This window comes from Homo sapiens, chromosome 2 (genome assembly GCF_000001405.40).
Source record: "Homo sapiens chromosome 2, GRCh38.p14 Primary Assembly".
Lineage (NCBI taxonomy): Eukaryota > Metazoa > Chordata > Mammalia > Primates > Hominidae > Homo > Homo sapiens.
The window spans coordinates 225,397,477-225,415,550 of NC_000002.12; the positions used below are offsets into that span (position 1 = coordinate 225,397,477).

At 35.6% G+C, this 18,074-nt stretch overlaps 1 protein-coding gene across 4 annotated transcripts in view; it reads left to right on the top strand.

Annotated features, from left to right (window-relative positions):
- Window positions 1-462: 462 nt before the first annotated feature.
- The window catches only part of NYAP2 (neuronal tyrosine-phosphorylated phosphoinositide-3-kinase adaptor 2), a 305,716-nt gene continuing 288,104 nt past the window's right edge, over window positions 463-18,074 (top strand). Inside the window, exons 1-4 of one of the 4 annotated variants that reach the window (XM_047445201.1) lie at window positions 463-792; window positions 2,679-2,779; window positions 3,085-3,567; window positions 11,388-11,625. In XM_047445201.1, the coding sequence (XP_047301157.1) occupies window positions 11,405-11,625 (221 nt within the window). In that variant the 5' untranslated portion in view covers window positions 463-792; window positions 2,679-2,779; window positions 3,085-3,567; window positions 11,388-11,404. Of the gene's footprint in view, window positions 793-2,233; window positions 2,780-2,947; window positions 3,568-11,387; window positions 11,626-18,074 lie in introns of those variants that run through there. The other 3 variants (NM_001371273.1, XM_047445200.1, NM_020864.2) reach the window with 3 other exon arrangements.

The window sequence follows — 18,074 nt, forward strand, 5'->3', positions numbered from 1 at the left end:
TATTGAAATGAGTAGAGGTGCGTTCTGCATTTGGCTCTAAGATGATTTGCAAGAGTAAAGATGCTTTGCTGTTTCATTCAGTGAGACCTAAAGTAGTTCTGGGGTCCTTCTCAGCACGATCCTCAAAGGTTCTATAAACTCCTATACACTAATATGTCTCCAGAGAATATATTGCCCTGTCAGTGACATTGACACCTAGAATGAGGAAAGTGTGGGATTGAGAAAATGGGATTGGTAAAATGTGATGATTCTCAAGCCCTATTCTGTAATATAAAGAGAAAAAGAAAGAAAAAGAAAAAGGCAGGGAGGCAGGCAAGTAGGAAGGAAGGAAGGAAGTAAAGAAGGAAAAGAGGAAGGAAAGAAGGAAGGGAGAAAGGGAGGGAGGGATGAAGCAAGGAATGAAGGAAAGAAAGAAGAAACAAAACAAGGAAGGAAAGGGGAGGGAGGAGAGGGAGGAAGGAAGGAAGGAAAGAAAGAAAAAGATATATTTTCCTAAAGTTGAATATATGAAACTTAAAAGACCATCTATTGTTATAAATATGCTTTCTCTATTCTTCTAATATAAAGATTCCTTTTACTTTTTGAATTTTTGTGGTGAGGAAATGGCAGATTCTTCATTTTTTATGCTTGGCAACTGTATGTCAGCCTCTCCTCACTTTGTTTGGATTATTTTGGTGCATGAAATCAAGGGGACTGAGAACCACTGTACTGGCCAAAGATGAGGAGACCTGCAGTCAGCCCAGGGACCTTGGGTCTTAATCCTAATGAGGCAATTAAGTAAGTCAGAAACAAGTAAGTCTGTTTACTTATCTTGGTAGTATTTTTCTTACATATAGAAATGGGCTTTACACTAGAGCTTATTCAAGCTCTCCATAGTTCAAAATATAGACCCCCAGACTGGCAAAATTATCAGTCATGATAAAGTGTTTCCGTTTTCTAAAATGTCTGTCAATAATTTTTTTTTTGTAAAGAACTTTTTCCACCTTTGGTCATGTGCTGAAAGACAACATCTATGAGAACACTTCACTACCAAAATAATGGCACATTAGTAAACCTCTTGATCACAGTGTGGTGGCTGTTACTAGTTTATAAGTGGTGCTTGAGGCACTTTTCAGCAATGTGCTAAGTATTTAGAACCTTCATAAGGCAGAGAGAGAGAGAGAGAGAGGGAAAGGGAGAGCATTGGGATAGGGGGAAGAGAATATGAGAGAGGTCTGGCCTCTTCTCTTCCCCGTTTGTATTTCTCCTCCTTTTCATCTATCTAATCTTGCAGAATCCTTCTTAAAATTAAACAGATGTCCTGTTCTAACCAAAAGCTAGATACACAAAGACCAAGAAATAAGTGATGAGCTTCAGGAATGCACTTCAGGACATGTAAAATAGAAAAGCTTTATAGTAATGTAATGTGTTGATTTTATTTTTCCCCAGATACTTACAAGTTAAAGAAATATAATTTAAGAAAATTACAGCACAGTCTCAGGTGACATTTAAGAATTAGACAGGTGAACTTGTTTATTTTTGTGGTCTGTCAATGCATTAAAAACTAAATTCAGAAAACTATTTTCTAAGACTTTGGTTATGAATATAGACGTTAAAAAACACTCTTGGGAAAACCAACCTGCAAGTGAAGGTCATTTACAGTGAGTTACTGAAAAAGAATGTGAGGGGAAAAATCTATAGGTCACTATCAAGTAATAAGCACATCCCCTCCCATCAAAATTGCTTTTTAAGCTCATATCCATCAGAAACATATTATATATTATTCCTTTTATCATAGTGCAAAATTAATAGATTAAAACATGTACATTTTAGTTTTTACTGAGGAGGAGCCAGTATGAGAAAAACTTTGAGCTTAATAAATACAAATACACACAAACACACATATATAAGTTGTGGTATATAATGTGATATATATGTATATATTCAGTAGAGTATTAAGAACAGAATGAGGAGAGTCTTTGGGAAATATCAGAAATAGAATGACTTTAATTTTAACAATGAGTCTATAGGAATTAATGACATACATATCATAATTATTTTGCATCTTATTTTAGTTAAAAAAATGTGCAGTCCGAGTAAGACCTTTGTTCCACACACGTGTGTGCTGTGCATATTCTTTCTAAGTGGACTAGTTTTGTTCTCATGCCATGGGAGCAGGTGGCATGAAGCTGTTTTGATGAGGTTAAAAGGCTCCTCCCCTCTCTCCCCAAGCAGCAGCCTGAAGTACGTCAGCAGTAATTGTGTGCATGGCTCGGCTGTGCAGGGAGGGTGGAGGCAAAATTGATATCAAATAAGGGTATCAAACTGAGATCTAGATGTTCCATTTAAGTTGTTGTTCATTTTCATTAGCCACGCCAGGGGTGAAATGCTTATAACTTAACCATTCTCTGTAGTAAGAACATTTGTTTTCAATGGATTTATATTTTTCCTCTCCATAAAGACTGAATTAGTGCTATAGTGAATATAAATGAAGGGTGTTTCTTTACCCTCTTTTCCTTTTATTATTTACTAATCAGACTTCAGCTCAGTTAGATAAAAGAGAGAGGTTCTGTTGCCTAGATGTGAGGCCTTTAATGAGGATGGGAGCCCCCAGGGAGCCGAAATCCAAAGTAGAACGATGCCGCTTTCCGGTTTCTTGCAATTTCTTCAGTTGCTTCTCCCTTTTCCAATGGGCCTAGTGAGCAGGAACTATCCAAGGTGCTAGAACGCTGGCAGCCTTGCCGTTCAATGCAGACGGATTGCAGAAACAGAGAAGAAAGATTACTGCTTATTTCAGAAGGTAGGTTCTTTGTTTCAGAATCCCTGATTAATCAGCAGCAGCTTCAACAGACTAAGGCAGCTGGAGAGGAGAAAGAGAAGCAGGAAGGGAGGGAGTCAGGGGCAGGGAGGGAGGGAGGGAGTGGAGGGAGAGAGAATGAGAGAGAGAGAGCTGGTTGTCACGGGGGAGGGACTATGCCACAAGCTGGGCTGCTCCAAACCTTCTGTATGTAAGTGGCAATGAGAAAGAGCATCTTTTTGGCTGAAAGGAGACATTTAGAAAGGATGTTTCTGATTTTTTGTTTTCATTTATTTTTGTCTTCGCAGAATATAATCAAATGAGGTACATTAGCCAGCTTGGTGATTGCTTCTGGTCCTGTAATCATCTGTGTAGCAAAGTGGGTAAAATCATTCAATTTCTTCCCTGCTGGACCTGGAAGGAGAGGGGCTGTGTGTTCATCCCCACCCATTAGCTATGCCCTCTTTTCTCCGAATGTCGATTTAAGGAAGCAAGCACCTGTCTTCCGCCACTGCATCTTCCTAGCAAACTTTAAAGGCCATTTTATCTGATAGGAAGGACATCGAGAATGCTCTGATCTAGTGATGAAGAATCTGGGAGTCGACACTTTTCCCATCCAGACACAATGCACTTTAATTGAAGAAACACTGAGCTGAACTACAAGTCTATTTCTTATGGTGCTGGATTACTCCTACAGAACTGCCCTGAGATCAACCGTGAGAGAGGGCTCTGACAGACACAAGTCACCTTCTGGTTATTGCACTTAGCTCTCCCTGGGGACTTAAATTTTGGTATGTATCTCATTTTTCAGATTCTCTAAGCATGCTAATCGAATCCAGCACTGAATAGATCAAGCAATCTGGTGATAAAATGGAATGGATTTTAGTTAGGGATACTTAATGCTGAAGTTTGCATGCCTTATTAGGTGGAGCAGAAATAAAGCCACAGTGAAGGCATCCAGGGCTTTAGTGAGCCTGAGGCTATTTTTACTCCCTTACCCACTTAGTTACATTACCATGGAAATGGTTAAACTAGATTTTCATTAGTAAAATAAGCCATGTTGAATTATTAAAGCTTTGAAAATGTTTTCCAGGGTATTAATTGGCATTCAAGTTGTGCATGCTAGCTATTTATCCGCTATTCCATACCATAAATATTTTACAACTGTCTCTTAGCACATTTATGTCAGCAGTGAGAGCCCAATTTTACATTCTCAGGAGAAAAGACACAGTATCCCCCAAAATTCAAAACTACCAGACAAACAGCAAAGCCGACACTGCTTCTTCCTGACTGATTAGACATAAACCTCTTTGAGAAACATTTTTTAATACTATTCAATGTCAGAAAGATTTTATTAGTCTCATCACAATAAATATTTTCTGTAAAACTTTAGGTGGACTTGTTTTACTTGGGACATGTTCTTATTTTGTTGGGGTGTCTCCATCCTAATTTTTCCAACTACTCAGCAATATTTTAAATACAAGACATGTGAGTATTTCATATCTGGAAAAACTATTACATAAAATAATATTTTTCACTATCATTGGGAAATACTAAAGTTCTTTTGGTACCATAGAATTGGATTTTTTTTTCTAAATATAGCCGAAAAATAATGAAATTCTGAAAAGCTTACATGATGTAGTTTTAGTCATTTTAACATCCAAGCATTTATAACCAAGTAGTGTGGAATAACAAATATAGAGAAAGAGTGAAAATTAACTCTCTTCCTAATTCTTCACATTTTAGACAATGTTCTCATTTATTTTATATATTGTCAAGCACTAATTACACAAATTAATGAGAAAATGTGGTCCACAAATGCAGAAATTATTTTGTTTTCCTATGGAAAGTGCAACATACATGAGCCAACTCAGCAAAGAAAGGGACTATGTGAAGGACATAGACAGTTTAGAGAATTAGTGGAAACAGACCAGAGGAAAATATTACAACTGCACAAGGGACAGTGGAGAAGCCTGAGGACTTGAAGCATCTGTCAAGTTTAGAAAGAGAAGTGTAAAAATCCTAGACACAAGAAGGTTGGTTATTGTTTAAAAAAATAAATAAATTATAGACTCCCAATTCAATTAGATGGTTCCCACTGTAGCTCCAGTCAGCAATTTATTAGACTGACTACATCTACTTTGCAAATAATGCCTTGTAAGCATCTGGAACCATTTGGCCCAAGCCTCCAAAAAGTATCTCAGCCACTGGCATTTTGCATGAGTCTCCAATATTAATGGAAATGTACAATCTCTTTACACCATGGGCAAACAGCACCATGACAACCTGGAAGATGAGGGGGAGATACCAATTCATGATGCTACTGCATTAACACGATTTATGCCTATCTTACTCATTTTGGGAAGAGAGATAGTGGAGAAAAACTCACTGCAAAGTAATCTGCTTTCTGAGAAAAAAGCAATCAGTGTCTTTGTAGTCACTTTAGCAAGCTTTCTTGGTTGTAGCTTCAACATTTCCCATTTTGGGCAGAACAGCTGCATTTTGATGACACTGAGAATGAGAAAATGAGTGTGACCATTTGTGGGGTAGGGAGTAGGATTTCAAGCATAATCAAAGTGAAATTATAGGAGTAATGCTTGACAAATTATAAGATTTTATCAGAAAAAAATTTTGACATGGTTTACATGTGTTATGGGTTATAACCAGGCTAGTCTGATGATTTGGTCCTATGTGAAGTCAGCAAATTTTAAATATTAATTTGCATATGTATTTTACATATGTATCAGAAGCCTGATTATTTAAATCCTTACATTTTCATACACAATGTGTTTTCAAATTGGTTTGAGTACATGCAAAAGTTGTAAAAGATTTTTTTCTCCTGCTAAACAAAAACAACAAAAAATAGTCAAAATTGCCTTGGGAAACTTTTATTGGATCAATACTACTAGAAAAAAAGTAGGATTCTCTACCTCAAAGAAGATGCAATGATTGGAGTAGGAAGGAAACTCAAATCTTAATAACTCAAATTCTAATAACTTCCTCACAGCATTGAGACAGGTGTGGTTTAAAGAGCTCAGAAATATATAAAGGTGGAGACTAGAAAACTTTACCCTCTGCAAATAAAATAAAAACACAAATGTGAAGTACAATAAAAGTAAAATATTTAGGTTTCCATCAGGACATTTGTTCCATTCTATGTATTGTGTTCTTCTGGCTGGTCACAATTAGCATTATAATAATCGCACAAAATAAACTATCTTATTATAGCTATAAGATTATCTTGTAGGATTAACTGTGGCCTAAAATTAAGGAAGCTTCTCATAGAGCTTCAGGTATTAAGATTAGGAAGCCATTCTTTCCCAAAACAGAGCCTTTTCTCCCTCCACCACTTAGTATATGTGGCAAATAACCAAATTAACAGAGGTGTCACAACTTTATATCTTGGAAAATAAAAGTTTCAGATGGAGAATAGCTCCATATCAGAAATTCCAGATAAATACCTTAATAAAAGATAAAAGGACCTGTGCCTATGAAGGCTACTGGACTAACTTACTCAGATGATACTAGTACCTATAAAACTCTGCTTTTGGTAAATGGAGATAAATTGCCCATTGGAAGCCTCTGCCTGACAAATCAGTGTACATGTCCATTCTAGTCAGTCCTTATAGAGCTAGAGTGGTTGATATCACAATGTATGAAATTACACTCATGAAGAAATTTGCTCTGAAGCAAAGAGAAAAGAAATGCTTAACCATGTATGAGAAGGAAGATGGCATGCCTAATATTTATCTGACTCTTTGTACACCCTTGATTCAACAGTATCTTGGAATTAATCGAAAGCCCTCTATACCTTGGGGAACTCAATCTTGATATTAGTTGGTGCTACATTAAATACCCTCTGGTAGATTGAGACCACACGCAATTGATACCTTAATTTACAATGAGAATAGCCCACATAAATCTATAATCTTAGTTTGATTCTTTTGCATACACCTCTTTCTCAAAAATGCTGCTTTTTTTTAAGCTTCAGAACTAAGGGTCACATAGTGTCTTAGCTTCTTGACTTCTCTGGATGGAAGCAGTAGCAGGAAACTATAGAAAAAGAAAAAACGAGTTGTTTTTTAAATGTTTTAATGTTTCTATGAATTCCATTTTGACATAGCAGACTTAGCTTATGCTCCACATGTGTATATAATGGGTAGTTTTATTTCAGTGGAAACAATTGTAAAGAAATGGAATGCTACTTTAAGCTCTAGGTTCAGCATTGGAAAAGTATAATGATGGCCTTGCACAAAAGAAAATAAGAAAATTGTTAACTCAATAAACAGTTAAATGCTTAGTATTTAACTTATGGTAAGAATTAAACCAGTTTGATTTGGTGCAATTTAGCTGGGTGGAATGAAATTTCAAATTTTGGAAAGTGTCACAGTATTATACAAAGTGATCTTTGTGAAGGGTGTGGTCAACATGATGTAAATAACAAAGTGAAAAAATAAAATAAAGCTGAACAATTAACCATACAGCTGTGTGAAAGTCAACATCTTTAACTTATATTAGAATGGTGATGATTCTAGATACAGTAATCTAAAAACTTAAACAAAAAGAGTCTTTTGTGAATGCAGAATACCACAGTGGAGGAAAGGCAGAGAGGGAGGATGTAAAGGTATCTGTAGATTGTATAGGAAATCCGATGTTGGTGATTTTAGGTGCCTTCCCAGGAGGGTCCCTGACACAAATTTTAAATGTTGGCCACAAATTTCAAGGAATGCACACACAGTGTTGCACTACTTGTATCAACATTGTGCATTGCAAAGAGAACACATCTGTCTTCTAAATGAAGACCATGGATGCTCATTTTCAACCAATGCTCAGGGAGCAGGGAAGGGGCTAAAATATCTAATTTGTTTTGAGCAAAAATGGCAACAGACTCAATGAACTCAATTAAAGGGATGAACTCAATTAAAAGGGATGCCTGTAGAAAAGCCAGAGTTCCACCTTAATCTCACCCACTCTGTTGTCACAAATACCTCATGCACCAGTTAATGGTCCAGTAAGCCAGTTTCCCTTACTTACTGAGACAGAGCTAAAGATGCTACCTGGAGGAGAGGGGACATTTGCCTCTTAACAAATAGGGTCTTCTAGGATGCTGACATAGGATTAGATGTTCAAGGCAAGTCTTTATAAAATTCTTGCATACATAATTGTCATTTAAGGGCCTGACATAAACTTGACTTAATATCTAAGAGTCAAAATGCAGTCAAGTTTTTGGTGGTTTACAACATATGTTATTCAATATCTATCTTAGGTGTAAATATAAATTTCTGAAAAACAAAGAGATTTATGGTTGTACTCGTCTGTGGGTTCTCACTGCTTTGAATTGGTAGCTGTTGTAATGAAGTAGACAATGAACATAAGGTTCTCTTTTCTCTAGTGAGGCCATGAATCTATTTACTCATAGTTCAGTTGTCTGAGAAACACTTTGGGCTTGGAAGGGTGGAGACCTAGGGTTTGAGAGATGGGATGAGTTTCGTGGTCCATATGTCCCAGTTTCTTTATTTTCTAGATGTGGACAATGGGGGACAATGGTTATGTGGAGCTGTCCATATAGATTTGATTGGGGGAAGAATGTATCAACTCCTAACCTGGCCTCCATTTACACATTTACACATGCAATTTTAAGGAAGTTGCACTACAATAAACATTGTACTCACCTTTGTTTCAAAGTAAAATTACATTTATCAAGGGGTTATATTATTATTAAATATAATTCTAGCCACATTTAAGAATTGGGAAACTAACAGTAATGTTAGTGACTATTAATTATAGTTAAATTTATGGAATACTTTTATGCATTTCTAACTCAATACTCACAACAAGGGTCTATTCCAACCACTATTTTTTTTTTTAATTTGGAAATTGAAGTTTAAAAACAGTAATTAACTTGTATGAAGTTTTAGAGCTAGAGGTGCCTTCACTGGGGTTTCTAGGCCATTCTGCCAGCCTCCTTATCCATGCCCTTCAGGACAGCCTCACAGCCTCCTCAATATTACAAACTATTATACTTTTTACATGTGGACAAGTAAACAAAGAGGTGTGATGTTTAGACATTGACAGGGCCTGTGACCGTTTTCGGAGACTAACACGACTGTTGAAAAATATTTCTTGTTCACCCTTAAAAACAGTGAAAATAAAACATGTATGACCAACTAGTGAAGTCCACCTAAATCAACACTAGTCACAAGTATTGCAATTATTTATTTATTTTGCTCTAACACTGCCACGAAGACATCTAGAGGGACACAATTCTGCCTTCATTAGGGCTTTTCATAACACGTGCTCAACAAATACTTGAAAAAAAAGAATGGTCATGGAATTTAATACTTTTCTAGAATTAGGTGGCAGGAGCATGTGTACAAACATTTATTCAATTTTCATTACTTTGAAGTTTTACTAGATGTGATGGTTCATTTTCATCTCAAAAAATTTGATCTCCTTTTTGTTTTTAAAAAATGCATCTTTCTATAGTGTAAATACTTTATAATATTATTAGTTAATAATTTCTCAGAACAAAAATAATTTAAATTCCAGCCAATTTGAAAGACCACTTAGGAAGGTAATTAACTTTCAGAGGTAAACAAATAAACTTATTGATATTTGGAATATAGAAACTGCGTAGGAATCTCTGGTGTCATTTTGGTTGGAGGAAAACTTAAGGAAAAAAATTAAAACCTTTGGGTAATAATGCCTTATTCAATTGGGAAATATACAATTTTGCTAGAGGGCAAAGAAGGAGTGATCATCTTCCAGCCGGAGGCATTATCTCTAGAATTCTTGTAATAGTGACTTGGCTTGCTTAACTTGGGTAGAATTAATTGTCGTGAAGTTATGCTGATCTTTTTTATCCAGGCACTCCTAGTGCAAAAGTCCTTGGTAGAAGTGAATTCCTGACAATGGCAATGCTTTAGCTCTCTGAGAATCATTTTCTTGTATTTTTCCCCAAATTGCAATCATTTGTAGCATTAATTTACTATTCTTCATGTCCATCATGTAAGCATCTAATCTGATGGACTGATAGTAAAATACAATTCAATTACACCAGATAGTTGGAATTAAAAGTCCATTTCATTTGCTAACCCATTACAGCTTAACATAAAACAAAACATACAAAAACTTAACATAAAAATCAAGAGTCAACAAACAACCTTATCTAGACTCCAGTTTCAATAATTTCTTAGATAGGAGAGAAAAATCCTTAAATTCAGGATGGGTTCCAAATCAAATATGGATTGACTGGCAGCTGAAATGCTAATAAAGTCTGATGAGAAGTAAAATTTCCATAGTTATTATCCAGGTTTTGGAACATGACTATACCTGTAAAAAAATCAGAATGAAAATTATTTGTAATTGAAAAAGTGAAAGTCTGGGAGTTTTACATCAAATAGTTGGGCTGATATTTAATAATATCTTTCTAAGTTTTGTAAAGAAAGAAAAACATGCAAGGGAATTGATAACTTTTGAATGGAGAAATTTTTCCCCTTGTTAATTGACTTTGCTTTTGGTTTTTTAATCTGACTCAATTATACCAGTTTCTTATACCACAATTAATATGCAATTAGGACAGTAAGCCTTCCTTCCATCCATCTGTCCATCTCCCCATCTAGCCACACATATCCATTTGACATTACTATTGCTGCCAGTTCATACTTTTTAATGATAATATTAGCTAATAGTATTATATACTTACTATTGTTGAACTCTATTCTAAATTATTTACAGTCTTCATCTCTCATAATCTTCACATCAGCAGGAGGTAGGAGTTATTACTAGCATCATTTTACAGTTGAGAGTAATATATACTAGTTGAAATTCCTATGCTTTTTTGTTTTGTTTTGATTTAATTTTGGTTTCTCAGTAATCTTTTCTGAGGCTCAAGTTTTGAAAACTTCATGTAACAATGAGACAACAGTTGTCAATGCTTGAATTACCAGACTGGTCAGGACTAATGTGGTCCTAGTGACCTATGATATGTTAGTTGTAGTATGAAGGCATTATGGAGGAACATTATGGAAAGAAATGAAGAGTTAAAAAGGATTCTTTTCTAGAAAAGTTATATTAGAAATGTGTTTTTCTTTTACTACTACTATATTTTGCATACATAGTTCAGATTCATACATTTTAATTTCAAAAACTAAGGAAAGCACATATATGTACAAAAGTTCTTTCCAAATAATTACATCATTTTACTTGAAATTGAACAGAAAAGTCTTTATGGCAATCAGAAATACATGAAGTTTGGATCTTATATACCTTCTTTGTGTGAAAACACATTTTAAGAAACAAAATTATTATTGTAATTATGCAACCAAATGTTTAACTTTGCATACAGTATTTACCCCTTCCCATCATATTTTAGTTCAAGAGCTTTGACCTTTGTCCTGCTAGTGTTGCTGCTTTGAGAGAAGGTTTGCTATTCAGGTAGCACTTATTTAATATTTACTTCAAATATTGTGGTTGTAATTATTCTAGTGAGATATTTTCTCCAATCGGATTTGGCCATAATTATTGGAGTTTTGAGTTGTTAGGGATAATAAACAGCACCTTGCTTTTTTCCCCACCCTGGATAAAAGTAAAATGTGTTCTCACCCTGCAGGCAGTGTTCCTCTTTACATGATATCCTCCAAGATGATGAGTTCTAATCCTGAGGAAGACCCTTTGGACACATTTCTCCAGTACATTGAGGATATGGGGATGAAGGCCTATGATGGCTTGGTTATTCAGAATGCGTCAGATATTGCTCGAGAGAATGATCGCTTGAGAAATGAAACTAACCTAGCCTATTTGAAAGAGAAGAATGAAAAACGCCGAAGACAAGAAGAAGCAATAAAGCGGTAAATATAAATAAAATTATTTTGAGTTTTGTGCACATGAGAAAGTCCATGAGGGCTGCTAAAGTTGTGATGTTGTCACTTGGTCAGAAAAGGTCTTCCAGAGTCAGTTAGACTTGGTGAGAGCATATGAAAGCGACCCCTCAACTATAACAAAAACACCACCCACACTGCCAACAGCATCCTTAGTTAACAAAAGTTATTTCCTTGTGTGTGTGCATATGCAGCTACAGACAGGATGGGGAAAAATTCAATTTCCTCTGAACAAAAGCTCATACTCAATAACCTCTTGGCAAAGACGCAAGGGAACACACAAACCTTTTAATAGCCCAAGATTGATGAAAATCCCTACCTTTAATGGCCTTTGGTTATAGTTCTTACCTTTAAATAGAGCTCATCTTCTTTCTAGATTATGGCCAAGATACATCAATAATTATACTTACGTGAGCCTCTGAAGGCAGGTAGAATCCTCAGGGTGTGCTCTCCCTATGCAGACTTTTATGGCTGTTAAATTTCTTGTTTGTTACCAAGTGCCACAAGTTTGTTCAAATGGAATTACTTTTATGATGCAAAACCTACCAGCTACTAGCTGGTGAGCCCCAGATGGTGGCCTTCCAAATTGAGGTTAAATTTCCTAGAGCGCTGACACCAAAAGAAGAATGCATATCTTTTGATTTTTTAAAAAGAATGTTACAATGTTTTCAGTTTGCCTGTGTGTGTGTCTTCTGGTGGTACAGAGAGAGACACCTGTGTCAGATGGAGTCCTGTTTCTTCAAATAAAGTTCACTTACTAAGTGCAAAATCCAGAATATAGGGACTTAATCCATATCAATTAGCTTGATAACTGAATAATAGTAATAATATGAAAGATATTTTGATGGTTAATTGGGAGATTTTTTCATCTAATCTGGCATTAATACTTTTGCTTATCATCTCTGAACGCTGTGATATTTAAAAAACCAAAATGTTCTCTTAAAATGAATTATTCATGCTTATAAAGAAGCTAGGTGAGATCACACTACTCCAATAACTTAATTAAAAATAACTTTATGGAGAGAGAGAGATGATTTGAAAGCAAAAAACTAGAAATAGAAAGGAATGGTGTACAAGATTGTTTTAAAAGAGAACTCTTTTTTCTCTGGACGATTAAAATGAAAATATATTATCAGGTATAGAAATTGCATAATTGATCAACATTTTCACAATTGCATGTATTTATATTTAAAGTCAATTAATTTGTTGTTGAGGACTATGTTATTTTGATTTCTAACCAATTTTAACTGGTGTCATGATTCTTTTCTAGAGTGTATAAATGCCTTCTTAGGACATTTTTTTTTTCTGTGAAGTATTTTTGATGGACATTTTTTTGTGTGTGAGCATTTAACTTTAGTTTTATGAATCTGAGTTTTCTAAAATTCAAAATACAACGGATGGCCTACATGTTTTTGAAAGTAACTTCAAAACTCTAAAATCTGAAGTTTGTAATCTTGGCATTAAAACTCAATAATAAATCCTTTTCTATAAGCATATAAATAAAATTATTTTCTGGATCATTCCATTAGCTTTTACAGAACACCCAAAGTTTGCTTATCACTCTACTACTAGCTTCTGTATTTCATTAACAAGCTTCAGTAGGTTTCTATTTAAAGATTCATAGTTGTTAAGACAACAAAAATGGCTAATTTTTAGGTGCTTAACTGTCAAGTGTTCAAAAAGGGGCATAACCTCAGAGGACTAAAGTCCAAGGGACTTAGGAACAGAAATTTAGGTAGACGGAGACACAGCAAAACCCTGTCATTACATAATAAGTGAGGTCTAAGTAATCCATTTGTGTGAACTTTGAGTTGATTCCTGCTAGTCTGATAAAGCAATATTTTTCAGAACTATGTTAATAGCATAAAAGTAAAGATAACTCAGATCACACATTGAATTGAAGAAGTCCCACATGATCTGGAGACATTCACTTCTACTCACCCCATAAGCAGAAGATAAAATTTAAGTCCTACTTGAGTATAGAGCAAAAGACAGAAGTACATCCTTTTGTTGTGTCCTAACTGTTGAGAGATAATGTTGGTTTGCATTGGGATGATAGCAGTAAAGGTGGTGTAAAATAATCAAATTATGGACACCATTTGAATTTTCTGATTGATGAGATGCAGTAGTTGAGCAAGAGAAAAGAATTAATTAGAGGTGGCCCTCAGGTTTGTTCTGTTGTTGTTTTCTACTTTATTTTGTTTCTGCCTAAGCTAGCAGAATGATGTTTCCATTTAATGCAATGGCAAAGACTAAAAGGGGAGCAGGTTTAGCGTAACTGATGGGGGGGCAGGAGCTCAGCTTTGGTATGACGATTTTATGAAGCCTTTTAAATGTCCAAGTGGAGATGATGGAAAGGCAGTTGAGTAAAGAATCTGGAGCTATGGTAGAATTCCAAGCCGAAGGTACAAATGTGAGAGTTGTAGTCTATAGATTTCACCATCATGAGCCAAGGACTTAAATTTAAATAGAGATGATAAAAAAAAAACCCAGGGTTGCCCCCTGGAGGCACCTGATTGCTCATATGATAGGAACAGTGGAAGAATTCAGTAAGAACGGTTAGTGAGAGGGGAGAACCACAAAGGAGTATGATGCCTTAGAGTGAAGTGTCAAAAGCGATTAAAGAAGAGAGAGACATTTGGCTGATATATCAAATATGTTGAAGCCTGAGAACTGACCATTGCTTTTTACCACATTTGTGTTATTAATAAGAACAATTTCACTGAAGGGCTGGGAACAAAACTCAGTGGGATTATGTTCACAACAGAATGAAAATAAAGGATTTGAAGCATAATATAAATAATTATTTACAAATGATATATTTATTATTTCTAAATAAATAATTTACAAATAATATTATATTATACTATAATAATATTATATTATCATTTATATATCATTTATCACTGCAACCTCTGCCTCCCAGGTTCAAGCGATTCTCCTGCCTCAGTCCCTCAGCTGGGACTACAGGCATGCACCACCATGCCCAGCTAATTTTTGTATTTTTAGTAGAGATGGGGTTTTACCATGTTGGCCAAGATGGTCTCTATCTCTTGACCTCATGATCCGCCTGCCTCAGCCTCCCAAAGTGCTGGGATTACAGGCGTGAGCCACTGCGCCCGGCTTTTTTTTTTTTTTTTTTTTTTTTTTAACAAAAATTTTGTTCCTGTAAGAAGGGAGAAAATCAGCATATTTAAAATGTGGTTGTGAATGATTACTGCAGAAAGAGAAATATTGATGACTTAGAGAAAGGGAAAAATTACTGTTAGAGTGTCCTTGAGTGGGTAGGAAAGGAGGCGTCTAGAACATTTTAGATGGAGCACGGACTGCTCAGCCCTGCTAAGAGGACATATGCCACATTATGTGGATGAATATATAATGAATGAATGAAAGACTAAAAACTGGCATGAAAAGTCCCCAAACCTGGTTCTCTAAAGTCAATACATAGATTTAAATCAGGAGCCAAATTATGGAGGTAAAATTTGTGAAAAACCATCAGAGCAGCTGAGAATAGTAGAAAAAGAAACAGAAAGGTGGAATTAAAGAACAATCCCTTCTCCCTGTTTCTCCAAAAGTTTCTGTACAGTTAAAGCTGCCAAGTGGAGAAGAGCTGGAGGCTTGGGTCTAGGATAAGTTCTAGTCGGAAAATAGCGGGCTAGGAAAGTAAACCAAGATGGAAGCCTGTTCCATGCCTGCACTGCAGAGGCACAGAGGAATTACTCCCATCAGGACACACTCAGACCTCACCTCAAAGACAGTCACAGGTAGAGACTCAGATGGCAGCAGGAACACTGACCAGGTGCACACATGGGAGACAGTCATTTGCGGGCCATGCCTCAAACCTGGTGAGGTCAATCATATCTCAAACACTATTTTATTACTATCCTCACAGTCAGCACATGCACTAGGATTTGAAAAATGTAGTATGTGTCTTACTATCTAAAACCTTCCTTTCTTTCCTACTCTCCCTCCCCCAACATATTTTTCTAGAATTTTAATTTAAAATATAAATATCTTTGGAGGGGGCAGAATACTAGTAAAGCTTCTAGTTGTTGAGATTTCTCAAGTGTCTTTCTTTTCCAAAATCAGGACCCACGTACAGTGTGAGGACAGAGATAGTATCTGGATAGGTAAGGGAGGAAGCTGGAGAGAGAAAAGTGAAACAGGCCAAAAAAATAAATAATAAACAAATAAAAAATAGGACAGGAGGAGGAGGCTAAAGTCTTAAACCTCCTTATGATAGACTGGCGTCTGTCCTGCTGGCCTCTTGTTTACAGTTAGAGCTGTGGAATCTCAAGTGATCTAGTCTCAGTACTCATGGTAATGTCCAAATTCAATTTTATTTGATTCATATGGTGACTGGATATCTTGGAGTTCTGACAATTTAAAAATAATAACAGTCTTTTATTATTTCCTCAAACTACAATTTTGGAATTGCTGCCATGTTCTTAATTAAAAAAATGTGTTTTTAATATTTTGAGAAAGTCCATAGCAAGATCCTAGTCACACTGGCATTTTGGGATTCCAGGGATGGTGAAAGATACAGAGGACCAACATCTAAACCTAACACGTTTTAATATTTTTAGCATGCAATTTACATTGAGTAGAGAGAATTCAATGAGGCTTTAATAAACATAGTCTAATTACTTAAAATTATGTAACATATCTACTGGATGCTTTGTAGAAATATACTGCTGTTTAGTGTATAGAATATACATGCTGAAAATCTAAAGATGGGGCATGTTTGACCTTGAAAAGGCATTGATGATAATTCTCTGTGAAATATGCCAGTTGCAATTTCAGAAACGTGCAGACTGCCAAGGATTGCTTAAAAAATGGAAATAGGATTTCGTATGATTGACCTTCTGGATCACATATGTGCTGAAATGCCTTTTGTGCTGAAGCTGGGAAGCTTAAAACACTGAGCTCTTAGAAAAAGAATATCCTCATCACTTTCTCAGTGTTCTAAGTCACTTAGGCTTTCTGAGCCCAATTCCTTATTTTTCAACTAACTTGAGCACCTTATCACTATTACCTTTCTCATACCTTCACTTCCATTTCTCAAATGGGATTTTACTCAAAAGTCTGGCTGGGTGAAAAAATATCAAATAAATAAAAAGCGATGCTCTTAGTGTTTTTCTTAACAGCTTCAAATAACATTTGGTGAGAAAGAGAGAAAAAGACTTAAAGGAAACAAGTTAATGGAGAATGAAAAAATATTTTAGTAGCTCATCTTTTCTGCTATTTTAAATCCTAATGGTTTTGTGCAGGCACTGTTAAATGAGATTTACTTTTTTATGAAAAACCTATAAGAAAACAAACACACAAAACCTATAGCTTCACACAAATGAGTTCCCTTGAGATGGGTTGCAAAATCCCAGTTTATCATGTGAGTGAGAGAAAAGGTAAGAAACAGGAAGGATAGTCGTGTATTGAACCATTGACACACTCAGGAACCAGCCAATGAGAAGAAGGCAAGTGACCAACGAGAACAGAGTCCGGCCACAAACATCCCTTAAGGCGGTACCTGGGTGTATCTGTGAACACCTTCCTTGGAGTTGACTATTTACAGGCCACCAAGTTTAGGCCATCAAGTGACGATATTCACTGAGAAGGACGGGCAATCCAAAGATCATCTGGTATGCTAAATGTGCAAAAAGTCCCTTCAAACAAAGTTTTCTTTCTTAAATCTGAAACTGGTCCCTGCACTGTCTGATTTTGCTATTAGCTATAGTATTTTAAAAACGATATACGAAACATCCTTTAAATTGAAAGCAACAAGAAAATCTGTTCCCAGTACATGTCTTTCTGAGCATCATATCTACCATAGGTAAGGGTAGGATTTTTTTTTCTAATCAAACAAATGCTACATTAGTTAAATTTTCCAAAACATTGTGAATCTGGAAGACAGCTCTCGACTTTAGCAAAGTGGTTCTGACACAAAGGACTACTTAGGCTGATTAGGAATGTCTCTGTTCCCTGTGGATGCCCTCAAGGGATCTATATGAGGTTATATTTCCTCTTTAAAAGTGACAGAAATGGAATTACATTACTTACAGCTCCTTTAAAAAAATACATGCAATTGCATATTACTATATATACTTGAAAGCTATCTGTATTTGAAAGATTCAGTATTTCTGTTACTCAAAAAGAACCACTAAAGTCCATCCTTTGGACCATGAAGAAAAATAAAACAAAAATAAAAATAAAGAAAATATTTGTTTTTCCTTTACTAATACATTGCTGCCCCAAAAGCAAATGGCTATGATATCCAAGTTTTGAATTGGTTAATATTTTAAATGACTACTTTACCCAAAGACATAATTACACAGAGAGCTCTTATTAGAGAAATGTTAACAGTTACATAAATCCTCTTTAGATAGTAATGACTTCTGGGATCATACCCATGATTTGTGGCA